Source organism: Homo sapiens, chromosome 5 (assembly GCF_000001405.40).
Source record: "Homo sapiens chromosome 5, GRCh38.p14 Primary Assembly".
Lineage (NCBI taxonomy): Eukaryota > Metazoa > Chordata > Mammalia > Primates > Hominidae > Homo > Homo sapiens.
The window spans coordinates 166,131,807-166,151,275 of record NC_000005.10 but is presented as its reverse complement, the minus strand read 5'-3'; the positions used below and the strand labels follow the sequence as shown (position 1 = coordinate 166,151,275).

Here is a 19,469-nt window from a genome sequence, read left to right as displayed (position 1 = left end):
CCCCACCAAATTCACATGTTGAAACCTAATTCCCAATGCAATAGTATTAAGAGGTGGGACTTTTAGGGGATGATTAGATCATGAGGGCAGAGCTCTCATGAACGAGATTAGTACCCTTATAAAAGAGGGAACTTGTGTGCCCTTTCACCATATAAGAACACAGTGAGAAGGAACCGTCTATGTTAAACCAAACAAAAACAAAAACAAAAAAACAAAAATAAAAGCAGGAACTCAGTAGACATAAAATTGCTAGCATCCTTGATCTTGGATATTTCAGCCTCTAGAACCCTAAGAAAATATTTCTATTCATTAGCTACTCAACTTATGGCATTTTGTTGTAACAGCTTGAATGTACTAAGACAATAACTTATTTTTTTAAAATACACAATCAAGTCACTCCCATTACTCGACCAGTCAAGTGCTTTATAACCAACTTCGAAGGAGAGCTGTCTATATTTTCTGCCTCCATTTATTCACTTTTTACTTTTTCCTCAACTCATTCTAATTTGTTTTCTGTCTCCATTCTGGATCAAACTAATCACTAACAATTTCCAGTTTTCTCTTATTTCAGTCCTCCTTTTTTTTGCCTCCACAGCATTCAGCACTGTTGATCAATTCCTCTTTTTAGAAACACTGAACTCTCTTGGATTCTATATTCTCTTAGACATTACATTTTCATGCTTTGATTTTATGTCTGGTTGCTCTTTATCATTTGCAATATTAATCTCCTCTACCCAGACTGGCATGTCTTAGGGCAATTCTGGGACATCTTTCTTTTCTTTATATACAGTCGCCCTAAATGATCCCATCTTCAACAGCTTTAAATGTATTCTGATGAACATCTCTGATGCATTTCCAATCATACTTTCTATCCCTTGCCCTCTGCTCAAGTCTCACTAGCTGTTTTTCAGTTCTCCGTGGTGGTTATGCTCCCTCCTGTCAGAAAGATTTTCCATGTGCTGTTAGTCTAGACTACTATTCCATTCTGCCTCAACCTACTCATCTTTTACATGCCTGCTCAGTTGTCACTTCCTCATTTAGTCAAGCCTATTTAACACCACAAAGTCAAGCCTCCATTATGTGTCTTTAACATGACATATTTATTGATATGATTTCACTGTGTCCTCCACCCAAAATCTCATCCTGAATTGCAGTCCCCATAATCCCCCACGTGTCAAGGGAGAGACCAGATGAAGTAATTGAATCATGGGGGTGGTTTCCCCCATGCTGTTCTCATGATAGTGAATGAGTTCTCACGAGATCTGATGGTTTCATAAGGGGCTCTTCTTCCTTTGCTGGGCACTCCTCCTTCCTACTGCCTTGTGAAGATTGTGGCTTGCTTCCCCTTTGCCTTCTGCCATGATTGTAAGTTTCCTGAGGCCTACCCTGCCATGTGGAACTGTGACCCAATTAAACCTCTTTCCTTTATAAACTACCCAGCCTCAGGCAGTTCTTTGTAGCAGTATGAAAACAGACTAATACATTTATCTTCATAACATTTGCCCCATCATTAATATAATTATTTGTTTAATATCTGTCTCTTTCATTAGACTGTAAGTTTCATTAGGGTTCAGGTCTAATTCCTTCATAGACTCCAGATCTATATTTGTTCAACAGGACCTACTATAGTGTTTGGAATATAGAAAACATTCGATAAATATCTGTTGAGTGAATGAAGGAGATAAAGAGGGGGATTCGTGCAATCCGATTTCTCATAAAAACTGAATGGCTTTTAAACAATCATTGATATTGTCATTTATAAATCAAAGAATACTTCTAAGGCAAGTCTTCACTTGTCTCTCAACAATAAAGTTAAAATAAAGGATTTTCTAAATTCTTTTTTCACATACTCTACATGAAATTAAACCATTCTAAGAACGAAGTCAATAGCACCTGTAATCCCAGCTACTCAGGAGGCTGAGGCCAGAGAATTGCTTGAACCTGCGAGGCAGAGGTTGCAGTGAGCTGAGATCTCACCACTGCACTCCAGCCTGGGCGACAAGAGCAAAACTATCTCAAAAAAAAAAAAAAAAAAAACTGCTTTAATTTAAATTCCCCCTTTTTTTACATACATATTTTTTTTGGTTGACAGAAATACAATTGTATATTTTGAAATTTTACTACCTATTTAAATTTTTCAAATAATTTTACTTTTTTTTGCTAATATGAACCTACTATTTCCCTGTTTTCTTTTCCCTAGGAAATAATTCAGAATTTACAATTTGAGAAAGATATATAAAGGAGGAATAGAGTACAATGATTATATCTATTTTCAAATTGCATGATAGGACATGTTCTATTTTGGTAAGGATGTATATCTAGTGATCTTTATTAACAAAAATGTCTCAGACATCTGCTTCTAGGACAGAAAGTGATTTTATGAAAACCTCGCTGTCTCAAGTATGAGTTATCTTTGATTTTATGTTTGATTAATGCATATTTCTAATAAAGTTATTGTAACTGAATTCTGTAAGGTGGAATTTGACAGTTACTTTTGTAAGTAAAGCTAGAGAAATTGTTCTGTAAAATGCCAGTTGAATAGAAATCAATTATTCTAAGGGAAGAATGTGACAATATTTGACAATGCACTCCCCTATTCATAACCACACTAGGGTAGTAAGGCTATTAGGGAAGAGGTACAGCAATTTGTGTAACAGTCAAGAAGATCTCTAAGAAAAACAAAAACAAAAACAAAAACAAAAAAAAACAATAAAAATCCTGATTCTTTTCTTTAGTCTTACCCTCAAAATGAGTAGGTACTGAAATCAGGTATACACTTTTAAGATCTATTGGTCATATTTATCTTAAAGATATGTTTTGAATGGCTTTCATAGATGTTGAGGGAGCAGGTCTTCATTACTTCTTAAAAATTTTTTAACTGACATGACATGATTGGACATATTTATGAGATAGAGTATATTTTGTTACATATATGACGTGTAATGACCAAATCAAGATAATTGGCATAAGCATCACCTCAAATATTTATTATTTCTTTGTGTTGGGGACATTCAAAATCTTCTCTTCTAGCTGTTTGAAAATACATAATAAATTAACGTTAACTATAGTTACCCTACAGTGCTATAGAACACTAGAAGTTATTCTTGCTATTTAGTTGTAATTTTGTATCCATTAACACAATTCTCTCTACCCCGCATCCTTCCTACATTTCCCGGCCTCTAGTAAACAAAATTCTACTCTGTAGTTCTATGAGCTCAACTTTTTTAGTCCCCACATTTGAGTGAGAACATGTATTATTTATTTTTCTGTCTGGCGTATTTCATTTAACATAATGTCCTCCAGGTTCATCCATGTCTCTGTAAATGATAGAATTTCATTGTTTTTTAATGACAGAATAATATTTCATTGTGTATATATATACCACATTTTCTTTATTCATTCATCTGTTGATGGACATTTAGATTGATTCCATACCTAGGCTATTATGAGTAGTGTTGCAATAAACATGTGCACATATCTCTTATATATACAGATTTCCTTTCCTTTACATAAATACCAAATAGTAGGATTACTGGATAGTATGGTAATTCTATTTTTAGTTTTATTGTGAAACCTCTATACTGTTTTCCATATGGCTGTACTAATTTATATTCCCACCAACAGTGTATAAGAGTTCCTCTTTCTCTGCATCCTTGCCAACATTTGTTATTTCTGTCTCTTTGATAATAGCCATTCTAACTAGGGTGACAAGAGATCTCATTGTGGTTTTAATTTGAATTTCCCTGATGATTAGTGATGTTGAGAATTTTTCATATAATTGTTGGTCATTTGTATGTCTTCCTTTGAAAAATGTCTATTCAGATCCTTTGCCCATTTTAAAATTGGGTTATTTGCTCTTTTACTGTTTAGTTGTTTGATCTCCATGTATATTCTGAACATTAATCTTTTGTCAGAGGAATAGTTTACAAATATTTTCTTCCATTCTACGGGTTGTCTCTTCACTTTGTTGTTTTCTTTGCTGCACAGAAGCTTTTTTAGTTTTTTTTGTTTCTTTGTTTTTTTTTTTAATTTTTTTTTTCTTTTCTTTTTTTATTATACTTTAGGTTTTAGGGTACATGTGCACATTGTGCAGGTTAGTTACATATGTATACATGTGCCATGCTGGTGCGCTGCACCCACTAATTCGTCATCTAGCATTAGGTATATCTCCCAATGCTATCCCTCCCCCCTCCCCCCACCCCACCACAGTCCCCAGAGTGTGATATTCCCTTTCCTGTGTCCATGTGATCTCATTGTTCAATTCCCACCTATGAGTGAGAATATGCGGTGTTTGGTTTTTTGTTCTTGCGATAGTTTCCTGAGAATGATGATTTCCAATTTCATCCATGTCCCTACAAAGGACATGAACTCATCATTTTTTATGGCTGCATAGTATTCCATGGTGTATATGTGCCACATTTTCTTAATCCAGTCTATCATTGTTGGACATTTGGGTTGGTTCCAAGTCTTTGCTATTGTGAATAATGCCGCAATAAACATACGTGTGCATGTGTCTTTATAGCAGCATGATTTATAGTCATTTGGGTATATACCCAGTAATGGGATGGCTGGGTCAAATGGTATTTCTAGTTCTAGATCCCTGAGGAATCGCCACACTGACTTCCACAATGGTTGAACTAGTTTACAGTCCCACCAACAATGTAAAAGTGTTCCTATTTCTCCACATCCTCTCCAGCACCTGTTGTTTCCTGACTTTTTAATGATTGCCATTCTAACTGGTGTGAGATGGTATCTCATTGTGGTTTTGATTTGCATTTCTCTGATGGCCAGTGATGATGAGCATTTTTTCATGTGTCTTTTGGCTGCATAAATGTCTTCTTTTGAGAAGTGTCTGTTCATGTCCTTCGCCCACTTTTTGATGGGGTTGTTTGTTTTTTTCTTGTAAATTTGGTTGAGTTCATTGTAGATTCTGGATATTAGCCCTTTGTCAGATGAGTAGGTTGCGAAAATTTTCTCCCATTTTGTAGGTTGCCTGTTCACTCTGATGGTAGTTTCTTTTGCTGTGCAGAAGCTCTTTAGTTTAATTAGATCCCATTTGTCAATTTTGTCTTTTGTTGCCATTGCTTTTGGTGTTTTGGACATGAAGTCCTTGCCCATGCCTATGTCCTGAATGGTAATGCCTAGGTTTTCTTCTAGGGTTTTTATGGTTTTAGGTCTAACGTTTAAATCTTTAATCCATCTTGAATTGATTTTTGTATAAGGTGTAAGGAAGGGATCCAGTTTCAGCTTTCTACATATGGCTAGCCAGTTTTCCCAGCACCATTTATTAAATAGGGAATCCTTTCCCCATTTCTTGTTTTTCTCAGGTTTGTCAAAGATCAGACAGTTGTAGGTATGCGGTGTTATTTCTGAGGGCTCTGTTCTGTTCCATTGATCTATATCTCTGTTTTGGTACCAATACCATGCTGTTTTGGTTACTGTAGCCTTGTAGTAAAGTTTGAAGTCAGGTAGTGTGATGCCTCCAGCTTTGTTCTTTTGGCTTAGGATTGACTTGGCGATGAGGGCTCTTTTTTGGTTCCATATGAACTTTAAAGTAGTTTTTTCCAATTCTGTGAAGAAAGTCCGAATAGGAACAGCTCCGGTCTACAGCTCCCAGCGTGACCGACGCAGAAGACGGGTGATTTCTGCATTTCCATCTGAGGTACCGGGTTCATCTCACTAGGGAGTGCCAGACAGTGGGCGCAGGCCAGTGGGTGCGCGCACGGTGCGCGAGCCGAAGCAGGGAGAGGCATTGCCTCACCTGGGAAGCGCAAGGGGTCAGGGAGTTCCCTTTCTGAGTCAAAGAAAGGGGTGACGGACGCACCTGGAAAATCGGGTCACTCCCACCCGAATATTGCGCTTTTCAGACCGGCTTAAAAAACGGTGCACCACGAGACTATATCCCACACCTGGTTCTGAGGGTCCTACGCCCACGGAATCTCGCTGATTTCTAGCACAGCAGTCTGTGATCAAACTGCAAGGCGGCAGCGAGGCTGGGGGAGGGGCGCCCGCCATTGCCCAGGTTTGCTTAGGTAAACAAAGCAGCCAGGAAGCTCGAACTGGGTGGAGCCCACCACAGCTCAAGGAGGCCTGCCTGCCTCTGTAGGCTCCACCTCTGGGGGCAGGGCACAGACAAACAAAAAGACAGCAGTAACCTCTGCAGACTTAAATGTCCCTGTCTGACAGCTTTGAAGAGAGCAGTGGTTCTCCCAGCACACGGCTGGAGATCTGAGAACAGGCAGACTGCCTCTTCAAGTGGGTCCCTGACCCCTGACCCCCGAGCAGCCTAACTGAGAGGCACCCCCCAGCAGGGGCACACTGACACCTCACACGGCAGGATATTCCAACAGACCTGCAGCTGAGGGTCCTGTCTGTTAGAAGGAAAACTAACAAACAGAAAGGACATCCACACCAAAAACCCATCTGTACATCACCATCATCAAAGACCAAAAGTAGATAAAACCACAAAGATGGGGAAAAAACAGAACAGAAAAACTGGAAGCTCTAAAAATCAGAGCGCCTCTCCTCCTCCAAAGGAACGCAGCTCCTCACCAGCAACAGAACAAAGCTGGATGGAGAATGACTTTGACGAGCTGAGAGAAGAAGGCTTCAGACGATCAAATTACTCTGAGCTACGGGAGGACATTCAAACCAAAGGCAAAGAAGTTGAAAACTTTGAAAAAAATTTAGAAGAATGTATAACTAGAATAACCAATACAGAGAAGTGCTTAAAGGAGCTGATGGAGCTGAAAACCAAGGCTCGAGAACTACGTGAAGAATGCAGAAGCCTCAGGAGCCGATGCGATCAACTGGAAGAAAGGGTGTCAGCAATGGAAGATGAAATGAATGAAATGAAGCGAGAAGGGAAGTTTAGAGAAAAAAGAATAAAAAGAAATGAGCAAAGCCTCCAAGAAATATGGGACTATGTGAAAAGACCAAATCTACGTCTGATTGGTGTACCTGAAAGTGATGCGGAGAATGGAACCAAGTTGGAAAACACTCTGCAGGATATTATCCAGGAGAACTTCCCCAATCTAGCAAGGCAGGCCAAAGTTCAGATTCAGGAAATACAGAGAACGCCACAAAGATACTCCTCGAGAAGAGCAACTCCAAGACACATAATTGTCAGATTCACCAAAGTTGAAATGAAGGAAAAAATGTTAAGGGCAGCCAGAGAGAAAGGTCGGGTTACCCTCAAAGGGAAGCCCATCAGACTAACAGCGGATCTCTCGGCAGAAACCCTACAAGCCAGAAGAGAGTGGGGGCCAATATTCAACATTCTTAAAGAAAAGAATTTCCAACCCAGAATTTCATATCCAGCCAAGATAAGCTTCATAAGTGAAGGAGAAATAAAATACTTTACAGACAAGCAAATGCTGAGAGATTTTGTCACCACCAGACCTGCCCTAAAAGAGCTCCTGAAGGAAGCGCTAAACATGGAAAGGAACAACAGGTACCAGCCGCTGCAAAATCATGCCAAAATGTAAAGACCATCGAGACTAGGAAGAAACTGCATCAACTAATGAGCAAAATCACCAGCTAACATCATAATGACAGGATCAAATTCACACATAACAATATTAACTTTAAATGTAAATGGACTAAATGTTCCAATTAAAAGACACAGACTGGCAAATTGGATAAAGAGTCAAGACCCATCAGTGTGCTGTATTCAGGAAACCCATCTCACGTGCAGAGACACACATAGGCTCAAAATAAAAGGATGGAGGAAGATCTACCAAGCCAATGGAAAACGAAAAAAGGCAGGGGTTGCAATCCTAGTCTCTGATAAAACAGACTTTAAACCAACAAAGATCAAAAGAGACAAAGAAGGCCATTACATAATGGTAAAGGGATCAATTCAACAAGAAGAGCTAACTATCCTAAATATATATGCACCCAATACAGGAGCACCCAGATTCATAAAGCAAGTCCTGAGTGACCTACAAATTGACTTAGACTCCCACACAATAATAATGGGAGACTTTAACACCCCACTGTCAACATTAGACAGATCAACGAGACAGAAAGTCAACAAGGATACCCAGGAATTGAACTCAGCTCTGCACCAAGCGGACCTAATAGATATCTACAGAACTCTCCACCCCAAATCAACAGAATATACATTTTTTTCAGCACCACACCACACCTATTCCAAAATTGACCACATAGTTGGAAGTAAAGCTCTCCTCAGCAAATGTAAAAGAACAGAAATTATAACAAACTGTCTCTCAGACCACAGTGCAATCAAACTAGAACTCAGGATTAAGAATCTCACTCAAAGCCGCTCAACTACATGGAAACTGAACAACCTGCTCCTGAATGACTACTGGGTACATAACGAAATGAAGTCAGAAATAAAGATGTTCTTTGAAACCAAAGAGAACAAAGACACAACATACCAGAATCTCTGGGATGCATTCAAAGCAGTGTGTAGAGGGAAATTTATAGCACTAAATGCCCACAAGAGAAAGCAGGAAAGATCCAAAATTGACACACTAACATCACAATTAAAAGAACTAGAAAAGCAAGAGCAAACACATTCAAAAGCTAGCAGAAGGCAAGAAATAACTAAAATCAGAGCAGAACTGAAGGAAATAGAGACACAAAAAACCCTTCAAAAAATCAATGAATCCAGGAGCTGGTTTTTTGAAAGGATCAACAAAATTGATAGACCACTAGCAAGACTAATAAAGAAAAAAAGAGAGAAGAATCAAATAGACACAATAAAAAATGATAAAGGGGATATCACCACCGATCCCACAGAAATACAAACTACCATCAGAGAATACTACAAACACCTCTACACAAATAAACTAGAAAATCTAGAAGAAATGGATAAATTCCTCAACACATACACTCTCCCAAGACTAAACCAGGAAGAAGTTGAATCTCTTAATAGACCAATAACAGGAGCTGAAATTGTGGCAATAATCAATAGCTTACCAACCAAAAAGAGTCCAGGACCAGATGGATTCACAGCCGAATCCTACCAGAGGTACAAGGAGGAACTGGTACCATTCCTTCTGAAACTATTCCAATCAATAGAAAAAGAGGGAATCCTCCCTAACTCATTTTATGAGGCCAGCATCATTCTGATACCAAAGCCGGGCAGAGACACAACAAAAAAAGAGAATTTTAGACCAATATCCTTGATGAACATTGATGCAAAAATCCTCAATAAAATACTGGCAAACCGAATCCAGCAGCACATCAAAAAGCTTATCCACCATGATCAAGTGGGCTTCATCCCTGGGATGCAAGGCTGGTTCAATATACGCAAATCAATAAATGTAATCCAGCATATAAACAGAACCAAAGACAAAAACCACATGATTATCTCAATAGATGCAGAAAAAGCCTTTGACAAAATTCAACAACCCTTCATGCTAAAAACTCTCAATAAATTAGGTATTGATGGGACGTATTTCAAAATAATAAGAGCTATCTATGACAAACCCACAGCCAATATCATACTGAATGGGCAAAAACTGGAAGCATTCCCTTTGAAAACTGGCACAAGACAGGGATGCCCTCTCTCACCACTCCTATTCAACATAGTGTTGGAAGTTCTGGCCAGGGCAATCAGGCAGGAGAAGGAAATAAAGGGTATTCAATTAAGAAAAGAGGAAGCCAAATTGTCCCTGTTTGCAGATGACATGATTGTATATCTAGAAAACCCCATTGTCTCAGCCCAAAATCTCCTTAAGCTGGTAAGCAATTTCAGCAAAGTCTCAGGATACAAAATCAATGTACAAAAATCACAAGCATTCTTATACACCAACAACAGAAAAACAGAGAGCCAAATCATGAGTGAACTCCCATTCACAATTGCTTCAAAGAGAATAAAATACCTAGGAATCCAACTTACAAGGGATGTGAAGGACCTCTTCAAGGAGAACTACAAACCACTGCTCAAGGAAATAAAAGAGGATACAAACAAATGGAAGAACATTCCATGCTCATGGGTAGGAAGAATCAATATTGTGAAAATGGCCATACTGCCCAAGGTAATTTACAGATTCAATGCCATCCCCATCAAGCTACCAATGACTTTCTTCACAGATTTGGAAAAAACTACTTTTTTAGTTTTATATAATCCCATCGATCTATTTTTAGTTTTGCTGCCTGTGCTTTTGAAGTTTTGTCTATAAAATCCTTTCCCAGATATGTGTCCTGAAGCATTTCTTCTATGTTTTATTCTAGTAATTTTATAGTTTCAGGTCTTACATTTAAGTTCTTAATCCATTTTGAATGATTTTTGGATATAGTGAGAGATTGGAGTCTAGTTTCATTTCCGTACATATGGAAATCTACTTTTCCCAGCACATCTATTGAAGAGGCTGTCCTGTCTCCCACGTATATTCTTAATGCCTTTGTTAAAAATCAGTTGCTGTAAATATGTACATTTATTTCTGGGTTTTCTATTCTGTTCTATTGGTCTGTTTGTCTGTTTTTATACCAGTACCATGCTGTTTTGATTACTATGGTTTTTTAGTATATTTTGGAGTCACGTAGTGTGATGCCTCTGACTGTTCTTAGTGAGGATTGCTTTGACTATTCATGGTCTTTTGTGATTCTAAACACAATTGTTTTGTTTTTTGATTTTGCGTTTTTTTCTACTTCTCTGAAGAATGTAATTGGCATCATGGCAGAGATTGCACTGACTCTGTATATAACTTTGGGTAGTGTGATTACTTTGGCAATATTAATTCTTTCAATTAATGAATATAACATGTTTTCTCATTTTTTGGTGTCCTCTTCAGTTTCTTTCACCAGTGTTTTTTATTTTTCATTGTAGAGATCTTTTACCTCCTTGGTTAATTTTATTTCCAGGCTTTTTTTTGGTAGCTATTTTAAATAAAAATGCTTTCTTGATTTTTTTTCAGGTAGTCTATTACTGGTATATAGAAATATTATTAATTTTTATATTTTGGTTTTATTGAATTTGTTTATCAACTCTAAGAGGTTTTTGGTGGAGTCTTCAGGGTTTTTTTAAATATATACAGATCATGTTATCTGCAAACAGAGACCAATTTGACTTTCTCTTTTCCAATTTGGATGCCTTTTATTTTTTTTTCTTGTCTAATTACTCTGGCTGGAACTTCCAAAGACATGTTGAATAAGAGCAGTAAAAGTAGGCATTCTTGTCTTGTTATATAATAGTTATTAAAGAAAAGTTTTCTACTTTTCCCCATTCACTATGATGTTTGTCATATATGGCCTATATTGTGTTGGGGTATGTTCCTTCTAGTATTCCTACCTAATTTATTGAGAATTTTTATCATGAGAGGATGTTAATGTTAAATTTTGTCAAATAGATGCTTTTTCTGCATCTATTGAAATGATTATATGGTCTTTGCACTTCATTCTATTGATGTGATGTATTACATCTATTGATTTATGTATGTTGAACCATCCTTGCATCCTTAGGATAAATCCCACTTGATCAATGTGTATAATCTTTTTGATGAATTATTGAATTCAGTTAGCTAGTATTTTGTTGAGAATTTTGCACCTATGTTCATCAGGAATATTGGCCTGTAGTTTTCGTTGTTGTTGTTGTTTCTGCTGCTGCTGTGTCCTTGTGTGATTTTGGTATCAAGGGAATTCTGGCTTCATCGAATAAGTAAGAAAGAATTCCCTCCTCTTCAAATTTTGGGAGTAGTTTCAGAATTGGTATTAGTTATTCTGTAAAAGTTTCCTACAATTCTGCAGTAAAGCCTTCTGCTCATGGGCTTCTTTTTGTTGGAAGACTTTATTTCTGATTTAATCTTGTGACTCCTTATCAGTATGGTTAGGTTTTCTATTTCATCTTCATTCAACCTTGATAGGATATACGTGTCTAAAAATTTATCTATTTTCTCTAGGTTTCCCAATTTGTTGGTGTGCAGTTGTTTATAATAGTTTCTCATGATCTTTTGTATTTCTGAGGCATCAGTTCTAATGTCTCCTTTCTTCTTCTAATTTTATTTATTTGGGTCTTCCCTCTTTTTTCCTTAGTGTAACAGATGGTTTTCAACTTTTCTTATCTTTACAAAAACCAACTTTCTGTTTCATTGATCTGTTGTATTTTTTAAGTCTTTATTTTGTTTATTTCTGTTTGATCTCAATTCTTTCTTTCCTATTAACAATTTTGATTTTTGTTTCTTCTTTTTATTCTAGTTTCTTGACATGTAATGATAGCTTCTTTATTTGAAATATTTCTAATTTTGATGTAGGCATTTAATCTTATGAACTTCCCCCTTAACATTGCTTTTTCAGTATTACATGGGGTTTGGTATGTTGTGTTTCTATTTTCATGTCTTGAGAAATTTGTTTTATTTTCTTCTTAATTTCTTCATAAACTCTTTGGTCATTCAGAAGCATGTCGTTTAATTTCCATGATGGTCAGACACAGTGACTCATACCTGTAATCTCAGTATTTTAGGAGGTCAAGGTGGGAAGATGGCTTGAGGCCAGTAGTTTAGGACAAAGAAAGGGACCCCATATCTCCATAAAAAAAAAATTAATTGGCCGAGAGCAGTGGCACATGCCTGTAATACCAGCACTTTGGGAGGCTGAGGTGGGCGGATCACGAGGTTAAGAGATCGAGACCATCCTGGCCAACATGGTGAAATCCCATCTCTCCTAAAAGTACAAAAATTAGCTGGCCATGGTGGTGCACACCTGTAGTCCCAGCTACTCAGGAGGCTGAGGCAGGAGAATCGCTTGAACCTGGGAGGTGAAGGTTGCAGTGAGCCAAGATCGCACCACTGCACTCCAGCCTGGTGACAGAGCGAGTATCCATCTCAAAAAAAAAAAAAATAAATAAATAATGTATTTGTACAGTTTTCAAAATTTCTCTATTGATTTCTAGTTTTACCCCATTGTGGTCTGAGAAGCCACTTGATAAGATTTTGATTTTTAAAAATTTGTTGAGACTTGTTTTGTGTCCTAAAATATGGTCTATCCTGGAGAATGTTCCACGTACTGGTAAGAAAAATGTGTACTCTGTGCAGCTTTTCAGTGAAATGCTCTATAAATGTCTGTTAAATCCATTTAGTCTATGCAGTTTAAATCCCAATGTGTCTTTGCTGATTTTTTTAATCTAGGCAACCTCTTCAATGCTGAGAGTAAGGTGTTTAAGTTCCTAACTATTATTGCATTGGGAAGTATCTCTCCGTTTCGCTCTAATGGTATTTGTTTTATATATCTGGTGTTGGGTATAAATCTATTTAAAATTATTATATCTTCTCACTGAATTGATTCCTTTATCACCATATAATTACCTTCTTTGTCTCTTTAATAAATTTTTAAAGTCTGTTTTATCTGATATAAATATAACTACTCATGCTCATTTTTTATTTCTATTTGTGTAGAACATCTTTTCCCATCTGCTCACATTCAGGCCATGTGTTTATAGATGAAGTGAGTTTACTGAAGACAGCATATAGTTGGATGTTTTCATTCAGCCAGTTTATATCTTTTAATTGGGGATGTAAACTGTTTACATGCTAGGTGTTTTGACAGATGTGAACTAACTTTGCCATTTTACTAATTGTTTTTTGGTAGATTTGTATTCCCTTCCTCCCTTCCACACTTACTCACTCTTTCTTTTCTTTTCTTTTCTTTTCTTTTCTTTCTTTCTTTCTTTCTTTCTTTCTTTCTTTCTTTCTTTCTTTCTTTCTTTCTTTCTTTCTTTCTTCTTCTCTCTCTCTCTCTCTCATTGTTTATCTGGGTGGTTTAGTGATTTTCTGTAGTGATGATATTTGATTTTTTCCTCTTTCTCATCACGTATCTGATCTACCAGTGAATTTTTTTCTTGTGTGCTTTCTTATGGTAGTTATCATCCTTCTGTTTCCAGATGTACAATTCTTTTGAGTATTTCTTGTAGGGGCAGTCTTGTGGTGATGAATTTGCCTAGTATTTGCTTGTGTGAGAAAGACTTTATTTCTCCTTCATTTCTTAAGGATAGCTTTGCTGAATATAGCATTCTTGGCCAACGATATTTTTCTTTCAGCACCTTAAATATATCAACCCATTCTCTCCTGGTGCGTAAGGTTTCAACTGAGAATTTTTTTGTTTTTTTTATAAGGATCCCCCTTTCTGTGACCTGATGCTTTTCTCTTGCTAAAACCCTCTTTTTGTCTTTGAATTTTGATGGTTTGACTTTAATGTGGCTCAGCAGAGACCTTGTAGGATTGAATTCACTTGGGGATTTTTGAGCTCCCTGGATCTGAGTGTCCATATCTCCTCTAAGCCTTGGGAATTTTTCAGCTATAATTTAATTAAATAGGTTTTCTATGCCTTTTTTTCCATCTCCTTTCCTTCTGAAATGCTCATAATGTGAATTCTTGTCTGCTTAATGTTGTTCTATAAGTCTCATTTTATATTGTTTAATCTTTTCTTTTTTTCTTTTTCCCTAAGTGGGTCATTTCAAAATACCTGTCTTCAGAATCAAAAATTCTTTATTCTTTGATCTAGTCAATTGTTAAAACCCTGAAGTGCATTTTTTAAATTATTCATTGAATTCTTCAGTTCCAAGATTTGTGTTGGGTTCTTTTTAATGATATCTATCTCTTGGTTAAATTTTTGATTCAGATTATGAATTATTTTCCAGATTTTGTTGAATTATCTATCTGTATTCTTTTGTAGCTGACTGAGTTTCCTTAAAAATCATTTAATTTGTTTGCAGGCATTTGATAGATTTCCTTTTTTTTGTATTCTGTTACTGAAGAATTATTGTGTTCGTATGGAAGAGTTATTTCCTCTTGCTTTTTCATGTTGCTTTTGTCCCTACATTGACATCTGTGCATCTCATTGCATAGCCCCATCTTCTATTCTTACTAAGTAGCTTTTTTAGAAAAAAGACTTTTCCCTGTGGATATGTCCTATAATGTTGGCTGTATAGACTGCTTTGGCATTGGTTTGGTGTAAACATAACAATGTAGTCTCTAAGTGATTTCTTTGGCTGCAATAAAAGTCAACAGTGTCTGCAAGTACCTCAGGGTCTTATAGTGCAGTTGTTTGTGGAGGGTGTGGCATGGTTTTGCTGAGGGTGGAGACTGTTGGAGATCCAAGCTATGCCTCCCCCTCACTCCATGATCCCCACAATACAGTCCTTTGTGACCACCTACAAACTACCCCTCAGCACTTTTTTACAGCTGCTTGTGAAAGAATTTCAGTAGAACTAGTAAACAGTTCCAGGAAGTGTTTAAGACATCTGCCCACCTTGCATAAATGAGCAGGCAAAAACATTTCCAGGAAATGGTTGAAACATCTGCAATCCTACTTAGTTTCCCCAACCTCAACCTTGCCCCTATAAAACCCCACAGCAGCCTGTAAGTGGGGCTGCCTCCTCCACCTACTGTGGAGCAGTCTGACAGGTTAATAAAATTTGCTTGCCTGACTTTGGGTCTACTCATCCTTACTCTTAGCTAACCATACATTTTGGTGCTGAAACCTGGGAGGGGGTAGGCTCTGGCCAGGTGTCCCTAGAGGACTCATTCTCTCTCTCTCTCTCTCTCTCTGTCTCTCTTTCTCTCCCTCTTGCTCCCTCTATCCTCCCGGGCTCACCTCTCTCTCTTTCTCTCCCTCCCTCTTCCTCCCTCCCTCCTCCCAGGCTTACTCATCATGGTGCACTGGAGTCTCAGTGCCTTTCCCCCTCTCCTGGCCATACCCCCCTTCCCGAACCTGCCGAAGACCTGGAAGATTTCTCAGACCCTCCCATTGTAGGTGACTCCATTTATCACCAAAGCCTGCACAGGGATAAGAGAGACTCTTGCCATTTATCCAGAATGCTTGAACATCCCTATTTGCCCAAAAGACCCAGCCCTGGGCCAAGGGCTTCCTCCCAGCATCTGGGCCTCCAGTTCCTCCATTTCAGGGACACCTGACTCAGTGGTTACCTCCCTGCTCCTAGGCAAGGCCCGTGGGACAGGGGACGCCATCTCCCACCGTCCTTGTCATTGGAAGTCTCTTCTTCCTCTACCGCCCCCCATTCCATTCAGTATGGGAGCCTCTCAATCTACTCTAAGATTACCCCTGGGGTGCCTCCTTCACAATCTTAACACTCTCGGCCTCTGTTCAGAGGTTCATCCCAAAAGACTTATTTTCTACTGTAATACAGCTTGGCCAGAATATAAATTAGACAACGACTCCCCGTCGCCTGAAAATGGTACCTTCAATTTCAATATACTCAGGGACTTAGACTAATTTTTGTTATTGCCATGAGAAATGGTCTGAAATTCCTTATGTTCAGGCTTTCTTCACCCTCCAAAATCACCCTTCTCTCTGCCAATCCTGCTACAGTAGGGGCCGTGGCAGTTCCCTGAGAAGAGCCTTCGTGGGAATACCAACCGACAGGTCCCAGGGTGAGCACCCTGTAACCATATGGTCACTTGCCTCATTGCAGTCCTTAACAAAGCTGCCCATAAAGCTGTAAATTTTGAAAAACTCAAAGAGATTTCCCAGGGGGCAGATGAAAATCCCACTGAATTTCTCTCCCACCTTGTAGAGGCTCTCCAAAAATACACCCATGTCGATCCTGCTTCCTGAGAAGGCACTATAGATCTTTATACCCATTTTATCTCCCAATCAGCTCCCAACATCTGGCGAAAACTCAAAAAGGCTGAAGAAGGCCCTCAAACCCCACAACAAGACTTTCTCAACCTGGCTTTGAAAGTCTTTAATAATAGGGATGAGCAGGAAAAAATAAATAAGGCCCAAAAAGATCATGCCAAATACCAGCTACTAGCCACAGCTATTTGCCAACCTGGCAATAGCACCCAAGGGCACAAAAGACCCAAAAGCAGTCTTCCTCCTGGGGTCTGCTTTAAGTGTGGCAAAGAAGGCCATTGGTCACAGGTGTGTCCTAACCCATGAGTACTGAAGAGCCCCTGCCCAGTCTGCCAACATACAGGCCACTGGAACTCTGACTGCTCTCTTAACAGGTGAACAGAAAAGCCTGCCCCCGCCCCCGACCCACTGTCCCTTCATCAAACCAAAGATTGAAGAATCCCTCGCACTCCCACAGCTCCTCGACCTGGCCACTGAAGACTGACATGGCCCAGGGACACCAAACCCCTCCTCCATCATGGCATCAGAGCCCAGGGTAATTCTACTAGTAGCAGGTAAGCCTATCTCTTTTTTAATCAATACTGGGGCCACCTATTTAGCTTTACCTGAATTTGCAGGACCAACTCATCCCTCTCAGGTCTCAGTTGTGGGAGCTGATGGACTTGTCTCCAATCCGTGTGCCACTGGACCCCTGTCTTTTTCCCTGTTTAATACCATTTTCTCACACTCTTTCCTTATCACACTTATCATGCCTCGCTGCCTTACCCCCATTCTAGGCCAAGATCTTTTAGCCAAATTTAAGGCTTCTATCACCTTTTCCTGCCTCCCTCAACCAGAGTCCCTCCTGCTCCTTTCCATCAGTCCAAACCCGACCCCTCTCCCCAGTACCCACTTCCCACCTCACTCATTAACCCAGTGGTGTGGGACACCACACCCCCATCCCTAGCTGCTCACCATGACCCCATCATAATCCAAGACCCCTCCAAGTTTCCCAACGTACCCCAATACCCCATCTCTCTCACCCACCAAAAAGGCCTACAACCCATTATAAACAAGCTCTGCTCATGCAGTCTTCTTAGACCAACTCACTCTCCATATAACACCCCCATCCTTCCTGTTAAAAAGTCAGATGGCTCTTACCGACTAGTCCAAGACCTCTGGGCTATCAATCAGGCAGTCCTTCCCATTCGCCCAGTAGTTCCCAATCCTTATACACTCCTCTCCCTTATTCCCTCCAATACCACCAACTACACCGCCATTGACCTAAAGGATGCCTTCTTCACTATTCCCCTGTACCCTGACTCCCAAAACCTCTTTTCTTTCACCTGGACTGATCCTGAGACCCTTCAATCGCAACAACTCACATGGACTGTTCTCCCTCAGGGCTTCAGGGACAGCCCTCACTTCTTCAGACAAGCTCTAGCCCAAGACCTCACCTCCTTGGACCTTGCCCCCAGTGGTCTCCTTCAATACATAGATGATCTCCTTCTTTGCAGCCCCTCCCTAGAAGATGCTCAAACTCACACTATTAGCCTTCTAAACTTTCTTGCTAGCAAAGGATATAGGGTCTCCCTCTCCAAATCACAACTATCCACCCCAACAGTAACACACGTGGGAGTCCAACTCTCCCTCGGGGCATGAGCCGTGACCCCAGCACCGGCAGCCTTAATAGACAGCCTGCCTCCACCTTCCTCAAAAAATGAAATTCTCTCTTCCTTAGGACTGGCAGGTTTCTTTAGGATACGGATTCCCAACTTTGCCCTCCTAGCTCATCCCCTCTATGAAGCAGCCAAAGGCCACCTCAATGAACCCCTAAGCCCCTTACATAACATACTTCTCAGTTTCCATAAACTCCAAACTGCTCTTGTCACCACACCAGCCCTGTCCTTACCTGATATCTCCCAACCTTTCATTCTCTATATCGCTGAAAGCTGGGGGATAGCCCTCAGTGTCTTAGGACAACAGAAAGGAGATGCTCCTTTCTTTGCCCCTGTAGCGCATCTCTCTAAACAATAAGACAATACCATCAAAGAGTGGTCAACCTGTCTTAGAGCATTGGCAGCAGTAGCCATTTTAGCCCTGGAAAGCAAAAAACTGACATTCAGCCAAAACACCGCTGTCCACAGTCCTCAGAATTTACAGGATCTCCTCTCCTCTTGGGTGTTAAGCTCCCTCTCTCCTTCCTAAATTCAATCACTCCATGCCCTCTTTATTAAAAACCCAGAATTCAGCCTTGCCAAAAGTGCTCCCCTCAACCCAGCATCCTTACTTCCCATATCCTCTTCCCCCTACTCATTCTTGCACTGACATCCCGGACCACATACAGCCCCATTTCCCAAACATTTCCTCCAAGCCTCTCACCAACCCTAGTGACAAACTATTCATAGATGGCTCCTCTTCTGGGCCCACCGGCTCCCCCAAAATTGCTGGATATGCAGTTCTTTCTCTTGACCGAGTAATTGAAGCCAAACCCCTACCCCCAGGAACCGCCTCAAAAAAGCAGAACTCATAGCTCTCACCAGGGCCCTAACCCTTTCCAAAGGCAAATAAGTCAACACTTACACAGACTGCAAATATACCTACCATATTCTTCATTCCCATGCCGCCATCTGGCAAGAGAGATGATTCCTTACTGCCAAAGGAACCCTCATCACTAACGGCCCCCTTATTTACCAACTCCTTCAGGCCGCACACCTCCCAGCTAAAACGGGAGTTATACACTGTAGAGGGCATCACACAGGGTCAGATGAGATCTCCAGAGGAAACAGAAAGGCCGATGAGGTAGCAAAAGAAGCCTCCTTTTCTTCTGTCCCTGCCCCTCTCCTCATTACCCTGGCAATCCAACCCAAGTACTCTCCCACTGAAAAAGCTTTGCTACTACAGCAAGGAGCCTCCCTCCAAGGGGATTG

At 39.8% G+C, this 19,469-nt stretch overlaps 2 annotated features.

The window, feature by feature from the left end:
• Positions 5,270-5,803: an enhancer, noted in NCBI's record as "H3K27ac-H3K4me1 hESC enhancer chr5:165572478-165573011 (GRCh37/hg19 assembly coordinates)". NCBI's record gives its function as "activates a minimal SCP1, AML or CMV promoter by ChIP-STARR-seq in naive H9 embryonic stem cells {active_cell/tissue: H9 hESC(naive)}" and the evidence as "EXISTENCE:reporter gene assay evidence [ECO:0000049][PMID:30033119]".
• Positions 5,804-6,338: an enhancer, noted in NCBI's record as "H3K27ac-H3K4me1 hESC enhancer chr5:165571943-165572477 (GRCh37/hg19 assembly coordinates)". NCBI's record gives its function as "activates a minimal SCP1, AML or CMV promoter by ChIP-STARR-seq in naive H9 embryonic stem cells {active_cell/tissue: H9 hESC(naive)}" and the evidence as "EXISTENCE:reporter gene assay evidence [ECO:0000049][PMID:30033119]".